The sequence below is a fragment of the Homo sapiens genome, chromosome 3 (assembly GCF_000001405.40).
Source record: "Homo sapiens chromosome 3, GRCh38.p14 Primary Assembly".
In the NCBI taxonomy this organism is placed as follows: domain Eukaryota; kingdom Metazoa; phylum Chordata; class Mammalia; order Primates; family Hominidae; genus Homo; species Homo sapiens.
In genome coordinates this window covers 66,981,887-66,990,875 of record NC_000003.12, presented here as the reverse complement: position 1 = coordinate 66,990,875, position 8,989 = coordinate 66,981,887, and the positions used below count along the sequence as shown (strand labels likewise).

The 8,989-nt window shown below is 40.1% G+C and overlaps 4 annotated features.

The window, feature by feature from the left end:
* Window positions 611-670: an enhancer, noted in NCBI's record as "active region_20044". NCBI's record gives its function as "activates an Ori minimal core promoter by ATAC-STARR-seq in GM12878 lymphoblastoid cells {active_cell/tissue: GM12878}" and the evidence as "EXISTENCE:reporter gene assay evidence [ECO:0000049][PMID:35858748]".
* Window positions 676-1,425: an enhancer, noted in NCBI's record as "OCT4-NANOG-H3K27ac hESC enhancer chr3:67039875-67040624 (GRCh37/hg19 assembly coordinates)". NCBI's record gives its function as "activates a minimal SCP1, AML or CMV promoter by ChIP-STARR-seq in naive H9 embryonic stem cells {active_cell/tissue: H9 hESC(naive)}" and the evidence as "EXISTENCE:reporter gene assay evidence [ECO:0000049][PMID:30033119]".
* Window positions 1,426-2,175: an enhancer, noted in NCBI's record as "OCT4-NANOG-H3K27ac-H3K4me1 hESC enhancer chr3:67039125-67039874 (GRCh37/hg19 assembly coordinates)". NCBI's record gives its function as "activates a minimal SCP1, AML or CMV promoter by ChIP-STARR-seq in primed H9 embryonic stem cells {active_cell/tissue: H9 hESC(primed)}" and the evidence as "EXISTENCE:reporter gene assay evidence [ECO:0000049][PMID:30033119]".
* Window positions 2,176-2,925: an enhancer, noted in NCBI's record as "OCT4-NANOG-H3K27ac-H3K4me1 hESC enhancer chr3:67038375-67039124 (GRCh37/hg19 assembly coordinates)". NCBI's record gives its function as "activates a minimal SCP1, AML or CMV promoter by ChIP-STARR-seq in primed H9 embryonic stem cells {active_cell/tissue: H9 hESC(primed)}" and the evidence as "EXISTENCE:reporter gene assay evidence [ECO:0000049][PMID:30033119]".

The window sequence follows — 8,989 nt, the reverse complement described above, 5'->3', positions numbered from 1 at the left end:
CACAGTTAAGCTGGAGCAGGAACCCAAGATGCAGCTGTCTTCTCAGCTCAATGTGGTGGCATAGGCTCATCATCACTGGTGATTCCTAACCTTTCTAAAGTATGGAAGAAAAGGAACCAAACCACTCATAGGCGCTCTGAATTCAAATGTCTGTGACACTGAAAACATATCTTAGCCTATCATACTGTTAGTTGTAACTAACACATACTGTTACTTGTAACAAACAACCCCACACTTTCAGCAGCTTATATCAACAAAATTTTGTTTTTCACTCATGCTTATATCCAAGTCAGATCAGCAGGGGGCTCTACTCTTTGCAGTAACTGAGAGGCCAGACTGAGAGAGCAGCCATCTTGGCAAATGTGCTTGGTCACCATGCCAGAAAAAAAGGAAACGTGGTAAATTGTGCATTGGATCTTAATGTTTCCACCTGGAGAAACACGCATCACTTCCAGTCCCATTTCATTGGCCATAACAAGTCATGTGACCATCTAAAGTGGAAGTATAATAGGAAGTCCTATTCTACCATTCCCGGAAGGAGAAAAGCTAGAAACATCTGGGAATCAGCACCAATCACAGACATATTATAAGAGGACTGTGCTAGACACTCTTAGTGATGCAGAGATAAAGAAAACCTTGTGACCGTGCAGGTAAGTAGACACTCCGTAGCATATTCACATATGACTAAGACAAACCAGCACTTTCTAAGATTGGTTTACTTTGGCCACATGGGAAAATAAACCAAAACAATTTATTGCAGGGATTCTCCCCAAGGGTGATTTTTGTCCCTCAGGGAATATTTGGGAATCTCTAGAGACATTTTTGGTTGTCTCCTTTTGGGGTGTGAATGTTGATACTGGCACCTAGTGGATAGAGGCTAGGATGGCTATACCTCAGCAAAGAATTATCTGGCCCCAAATGTCAATAGTTAAGAACTCTGGGCTCTTATAATTTTCACGCTTTTCTCACACACATGCCTTAATCTATTGAAATGAAAATTATGCCTTCGAAATGTCTATAGTTGAGACTATATACACCAATACTCATGAAGTCCCACTGTGCTCTATCACTGCACATTTTATGTCCAGGCATATGGACTTCTATTCAGAAGTGCAGATTTAGTATATTCATTTTGAGCTCCAAATGAAAGAGTTGACTATATTTTCAAAAATATCTTGTAATTCAAACTTAAAACACTGCCCTTCAAAACAGTACCATAAATATATCCTCCAACTTGATGAAAGCAGCAGTCTGTCCCATTGGAAAAACAACACGGCATGACATAATCGGACACTGACCATTGACGATAAGCTTCATGTGAGAGCTATTGTGAGATCTTTTTTACAAGAGCACATTTTTCTAAGAGCAGTCCCTGCCACGATAGGAGCAGTCAGGAAAAGATCTACTGTAAGTGACCAAGGAAAGGGGTGTGTTTAAGCTCAGTGGTTCTAATTGAGTTTGTGAGACAGGCTTTGTCAAACACAGTTGAATGCAGAGGCGAAAGGCATGTGGAAGGAATTTTTTATACTTAACGGTGGGGAACTATTAGTAAACTACACTGAGGAATCTTTGATCTTTCAGCATCAAATTGTGTTAGAATTTAGGTTTAATGTTATTTCCCAGAGGGTAAGTTTTGTTTCCTAGTCTGAGCCTCAAGCCTTGCAGAAGAACTGACTCCGGAACTGACTACCTGGCAAAAGGATATTTGTGGGTTGTTAATTTGTGAATCAGAAGGCAAACCCTGGCCCAGCAGTATGTTAATCCCGATGGCTGAGAGGGAGCCAATATGATCACAAGAATGCACACAGCTTGGGGTCTTAGAAACAGCTTAAGAAAGCTTCAACTATGTTTGGAATGTACCGAATCAATAAATTGCTAATTTTTCCACCTGTGTGTTAGCCTACTTACTCTTCAGGGAGTTGAGGCTTGTAGTGCAAATACAATCCAAACACTTTATTAATTGCTCAGGCTAAAACAGGTCAAAGGAGCATGCCTAAGCTCAGTTTGAAATTCTTTTACTTACAAGGTTCCTGCAGTCACAGGGGAAATTTAATTGCTGTGCAAATTCTTCGTCAAAAAATTGGTCCCTTTTGTATCTGTCCTTGGTGAATACCAGCCATTTCTTCCTTTCACCCTCTAGGCCCTGTTTATTAGGTAAATGCCTTTGTTCTAAAAGAATACAAGCTAAAGGCCGGGTGCGGTGGCTCACGCCTGTAATCCCAGCACTTTGGGAGGCCGAGGCGGGTGGATCATGAGGTCAGGAGATCGAGACCATCCTGACTAACAAGGTGAAACCCCGTCTCTACTAAAAATACAAAAAATTAGCCGGGCGCGGTGGCGGGCGCCTGTAGTCCCAGCTACTCGGGAGGCTGAGGCAGGAGAATGGCGTGAACCCGGGAAGCAGAGCTTGCAGTGAGCCGAGATTGCGCCACTGCAGTCCGCAGTCCGGCCTGGGCGACAGAGCGAGACTCCGTCTCAAAAAAAAAAAAAAAAAAGGAATACAAGCTAAAGTGAAGGGCCATGATTTCTACTACTTATTGTCAAGTGGTATGGCACTAATAATAAGTATAAAAGTACATATGCAGAAAATAATATAGCAAACGTGGTAAAATGTCAACCTTTTGGTAAATTAAAGACTTTGTGGGAATTCACTGTACTCTTGCAGGTTTAAACATTTTCAAAAGAAAAAGTAAAGAAACAAAAGTAGTAGAAAGGAGGTTCTACTAAGCTTGAACTGTTGCAATGAGATGACAATAAAAATTATTTTGTTTTTTCCTTAAAGAAAATATGGCAGAACTATGAATGTTTGGTTTTTTGTTTGTTTTGAGACAGGGTCTTACTCTGTTGCCCACGCTGGAGTGCAATGGTGAGAGCACAGTTCACTGCAGCCTCAACCTTCTAGGCTCAACTGATCCTCCCACCCCAGCCTCCCAAGTAGCTGGGATTAGAGACATGTGCCACCATGCCCAGATAATTTTTAAATCATTTGTAGACACAGGGTCTCACTATGTTGCCCAGGCTGGCCTCGAACTACTGGGTTCAAGCAATGCTGGACCCTCGGCCTCCCAAAGTGCTGGGATTACAGGTGTGAGTCACCCCACCTGGCCAGAGTGAGTGTTTGGATATGATGGAAAGCAGTACAAGTTGAGTATTCCTTATCACAAATGCTTGGGACCCATGTATCTGACTTTGAAATGTTTTGGATTTTAGAAAACTTGAACATATATAATGAGATATCTTGGGGATGTGACCCAAGTCTAAACACAGAATTCATTTATGTTTCACATATACCTTATATACATAAGCTGAAGATAATTTCATATAATACTTTTAATAATTTTGTTCGTGAAACAAAGGTACAACTGTGTGTTTGACTGCAACTTGGAACATGACTTCAGATGTGGAATTTTTTTTTTTTTTACTTTTTTTTAATTATACTTTAAGTTTTGGGATACATGTGCAGAACGTGCAGGTTTGTTACATAGATATACACATGCCATGGTGGTTTGCTGCACCCATCAACCCGTCATCTACGTTAGGTATTTCTCCTAATGCTATCCCTTCCCTAGCTCCCCACACCTCAACAGATATGGAACTTTCTACTTGTGGCATCATGTTGGCACTCAAAAAATTTGGTATTTTGAAGGATTTCAGACTAAGGATGCTCAACTGTATTGAGATCTTTGTTAATGAATAGAAGTTGATGCTGCTGCTCTCCTGGGTATTTTTCCAATAGTGATGATAGATGATTCCAGATTTTGCCACACAGTGTCAACTGGTTTCTCTCCTTAACGGAAAAAAAAAAAGGCATATGGATGAAGGTGAAAATAAAGGTAGGCTTTTTTTTCTTTTTGGAGACGGAGTCTCACTCTGTCATTCAGACTGGATGGAGAGGGTGGAGTGGCACAATCTCGGCTCACCACAACCTCCGCCTCCTGGGTTCAAGTAATTCTCCTGCCTCAGCCTCAGCCTCAGCCTCAGCCTTCTGAGTAGCTGGGACTATAGGTGTGCACCACCACACCCGGCTAATTTTTGTATTTTTAGTAGAGACAAGGTTTCACCATGTTGGTCAGGCTGGTCTCGAACTCCTGACCTTGTGATCTACCCGCCTCAGCCTTCCAAAGTGCTGGGATTACAGGCATGAGCCACCATGCCCGGCAAAGGTATGCTTTTTTATGATGATTTAGTCTGAAATGACTTTGATTTATCAGCACCAGGCCCTAGGCTGCCTGGCTCACTCGCTATACATTATGCTGAGAGAAAAAGTGCTGAATTAGCACTTGGGTGCATATGAGGCCTAACACTTCGTTGTACCAGATTGCACCCTTGGTGACTTCCTTGTTGATTGCTACTGTGTACTGAATTGTATCTCTCCCAAATTCATATGTTGAAACCCTAAACCCCCATGTAATATTTGGGGATGGGCCTTTGGGAGATAGTTAGGTTTGCATGAGGTCATAAAGGTGAGGCCCTTATTGTCGGATTGGTACCCTCATAAGAAGAGATATCAAGGCAAATTAAAACCAAAATGAGGTATAACATACTGCTGGGCCAGGGTTTGCCTTTTGATTCACAAGTTAACAACCCACAAATATCCTTTTGCCAGGCATCATAGCTGACATTCTGGAGTCAGTTGTTCCACAAGGCTTGAGGCTCAGACTAGGAAACAAAACTTGCCATCTGGGATATAACTTTATAGCTAAATTCCACATTTTTTCACTGGACTAGCTTCATACCTTTTAGGATATCTATTAGCAAAAAGACAAAATATAGTGTTGGCGAGGATATGGAGAAAAGGGAAACTTGCACACTGTCAGTAGGAATGTAAATTTGTACAACCATTATGGAAAACAGTATGGCAGTTCCTCAAAAAATTAAAAATAGAACTACCATATGACCCATCAGTCTCACTACTGTGTATATATCCTAAGGAATTGAAATCAGTACGTCAAACAGATATCTGCACTTCCATGTTTATTGCAACGCTATTCACAATTGCCAAGATACGGAATCAACCTATGTGTCCGTCAACAGATGAGTGGATTAAAAAAAAAAAATGCAGTATACTCTCACTGCTTCAGTGGACTAATCTGAAAAAAAAAGAAAGAAAAATGTGGTATATATACGCAATGGAAACTATTCAGCCATAGAAAAGGAGGAAATCCTGTCATTTTCAACAACATGGATGAACCTGGAAAACATTTAGTGAAATAAGCCAGACACAGAAAGACAAATATCACATGTTCTCACTCAAATGTGAATCTAAAAATGTTGATCTCATAGACATAGCAGACTGGTAGTCATCAGGGACTGGGGTATTTGGGTGGGGCAGGGTAAGAAGATGTTGCTCAAAGGATACAAAGTTTCAGTTACGCAGGAGGAATAAGTTCAAGAAATCTATTACACAACATGTTGACTATGGCTAATAATATACTGCATTCTTGAAAAATGCTAAGAGAGTGAATATAAAGTGTTCTCACCACAAAAATGATAACTTCGAGGTACGGCATATGTTAATTGGCCACATTTAGTTCTTTCACAATGTATGTATACTTCAAAACATCATGTTGTACACAGTAAATACGTACAATTTTACCTGTCAATGTAAACAATAAAATTAATAAAATAAAATACTGTAAAATAACCCCCACCCCCAATAAGAGATACTAGACAGCTCTCCCTCCCTCCTTTTCTCTTTTTCTCCCTCCTTCTCTTCCTTTCTCTCTTTCCTTGCCATAGGAGGACACAGCAAGAAAGGAACTGTCTACAAGCCATGGAGAGAGCTCTCAACAGAACCCGACAGTGCTGACACCTTAGATCTTTGTTAATGAATGCATTAACATTCATTAAAATCCATTAATCTTGGATCTCTAGCCTCTGGGATTGTGAGAAAATACATTTCTGTTGTTTAAGCCACTCAGTATACAGTATTTTGTCATGGCAGCCCAAGAGGCCTGAAACAATTGTCAAACATTTTGTTACGAGGGAGAGCTGATAGGAACTACAGGAGAGAAGTTCTCTGTTTCTTTTTTTTTTTTTTTTTTTTAATTTTCCTTACCTTGTTCTTATGCCTAGCCCATGTCCATTTATATTAAATAAACTGTACTAACTGCTGTTTTTGTACATCTTTATATGGCAAAATTTAGGGAGTCTAACATTTCTGCATCTAGAATGTTGCCACAATTGTATTATAAATATCTGGGAAAGGTGATGTCCCAGCCAAGACCCAGGACAGAGGAATCAGTATTGTGGGACTCTCCCATTTCTTTAAGGCCCTTCTGCCGTACCATTTCAGTCTATTTTCACACAAAAGAGAGTCGAAATAGAGCCCTCTTACTTTAGTAAAAAGTCTGTTAAAACACAATGAAGCAATGGACATTGGAGACTCCAAAGGGTGTGAGGGCAGGATGGGGGACGAGGGTTGAAATTTTTCCTATTTAGTGCAATATTCATTATTCAGGTAGTGGGTACACTGAAAGCCCAGACTTCACCACTACTCAATACATCTGTGTAGGAAAATTAGACTCGTATGCCCTAAACCTATGAAAAAATTTAAGAAGAGCAAAAAAAAAAAGAGAAGGAAAAAAACCTGTTAAAATCAAGAATGATTATTAAAAAAAAGATACAGAGCTTGGACTTTTAATTTGAATTCAAAACATAAACGATCATTCTCACCAGTATTTTGGTGTAAGACCAAGACGTCACCTTGGACTGAATCTGCTGACCAGAATCCTGCACTATTTTCCTTATTTATATAGTGTCTGTGATTGCACAGTCTATGCTTTCTACTTTTAATATCTTTAAAGTAGAATGAGAATTTAAAGAGTTTTGAAATGATCTGTGTATAGAATCAGTCTAGATTTTTAGTCTCCCATAATATTATATATTTGTTTTACCTATACTTAATGTGACAGGGTTTTTTTTTAAGCATCTTTGTGGGAAATGCTGTTGCACCATCACACCTATCATGCCAGCAGGGGTTGGCAATCTACTGCCCATAAGCCAAAGGCTGTTTTTTCAACAATAAGATGGGAAGCTGAAAATGTCTACTATCCGACCCTTTAAAGAAAGTCTGTCAATCCCTGCCTTAGGCCATCAGAGACCTCTTCTGGATCCTTTACAGAAGCAGCAAGAGAGAACAAGGAGAATTTTAAGTGCTAAACCTCAAAATGGTATTCATTTTTGCCCACTTTCCATTGCCCAGAATTCAATCAAATAGATTTCCCCTAACTGCAGGGGAGGCTAGGAATTGTTTCATTGTATATCCAGAAGAAAAAAAAGATATGCTGAAGAAATAATTTGTCTCTGCCATATAGAGTCTCTTCCAATCATCTGACTTCAAAAAAAAAAGCAAACAAATACTGTCTTTCTTTGTGTCACATTTCATTGGATGGCATGATATTTATGTGAACTACATAATTACAAGTGCAAGCGACATTAATAGCTTTGATGTACAACTTGACACTTGATAAGCCCATAGCTCAACTAATGGGATCAGGAGAGCATGGGCATCTTGGAGGGTTCAGCAGGCTGTGGTTATCAGGCATTCTGTGTTCCTGATGGATGAGAGCAATGGTTCTCCACTAGGGGCAATTTTGCCCTCCGAGGGACATTTGGCAAAATCTGCAAACAAGTTTGCTTGTCACAACTAGGCAAATGCTGCTGGTATATTATAGGTAGAGGCCAGGTATGCTGCTAAACAACCTACATTACACAGGACAGCCCCCACAACAAAGAATTATCTGGCTCTAAATGTCAATAGTGCTATTAATAGGAAAACCTGCAATAGGGGGTGATCATTCATCTGGCAAGTTGCTAAGTCTGAGGTTTGTTAAGGGAGCTTCTAATACATGTATGTAAGAATTAAGTTCGGCGAAACTTTAAAAGAAGTCTTGGAAATTGTGGAGGTTTCTAAGGAAGCAAATTAATTCAGTTACTCGCCCCCTGTCTGGATCCTAAACCAACTGAATATTAGGCGTAGAAAGTAAACAGGGATCAATACAATAGCTTTATATCTGGCCAAGCCTGATTGGAAAGAATGATATGGACAAATGGCCAAAGGGGAATTCTAAATGCTTTCCCCCAAATCTGGGTGTAGAAAGAACTGTGTCCGCCCAGCACAAACAGAAGTTCAGGTATGTGGAGAGAACAGAGCCATGGGAGCAAAGCAATGTTAAACCTATCAATAGCTTCTAATAGAGAAATACAGATCAGAGTTTTTGCCATCTCATCAGCCAGATAATTCTTTTCTCTTTCTCTGAGAAGTGTTGAAGAGGTGATAGTTGCAACCTTTCAAACAGAATGGAATTTCTATTTTATTGGCTGAAAGGTCTATTGACAAAAGGAAATGTTGGTTCTCCCTCAGTCATAGTGGAAAAAGCCCCTTCCCTGCAGGAGGCTCCTTTCCCTTCCTCTTCTAACTTTCCCAAATGTAGGACCCTGAGCAGGTCACAACCTCTCCAGGCCTCAGTTCCCTCATGTGGATAATGATTCAGATTTGTCAGAAGGCTGAGGCCTGGCTCAGATAATCTATGGAAGTCTCTTAAAATCTTAAGAATATTCCAAAGGTCACACTGATGGTTTAAAGACAGCACAAAATGTATGCATTTATGAAATCTTGATTGTGAGGTCAAGTGTATAATCTCAGTCTTCTGAATGATTAGAAATTGGGCATGGGGTAAGGCTGTTTGTTTCCAGTGTGAATCGAAAAGATATGGGTATTTTAGGGCATGATTCTGAGCTTTTCTAGGCACAGTGTCTTCCCCGGCTGAAGTGGGAACTGCACCTGTGTTTGGGAACTTGTTTATTCTGTTCCTCCAATTTTTTTCTGGTGCCTTGGAGTCTGTGACAGTTCTGACATAGTTTTTGTCATTTCTTTGCGTCTTCCATCTATTGTAACTCTCATGTCTAGAGAATCTTTGAAATGGCACTAAGATTTTTAACAGTCACCTTACATATTTCTGTGATTCATCTTTATGGCACTGAGGTT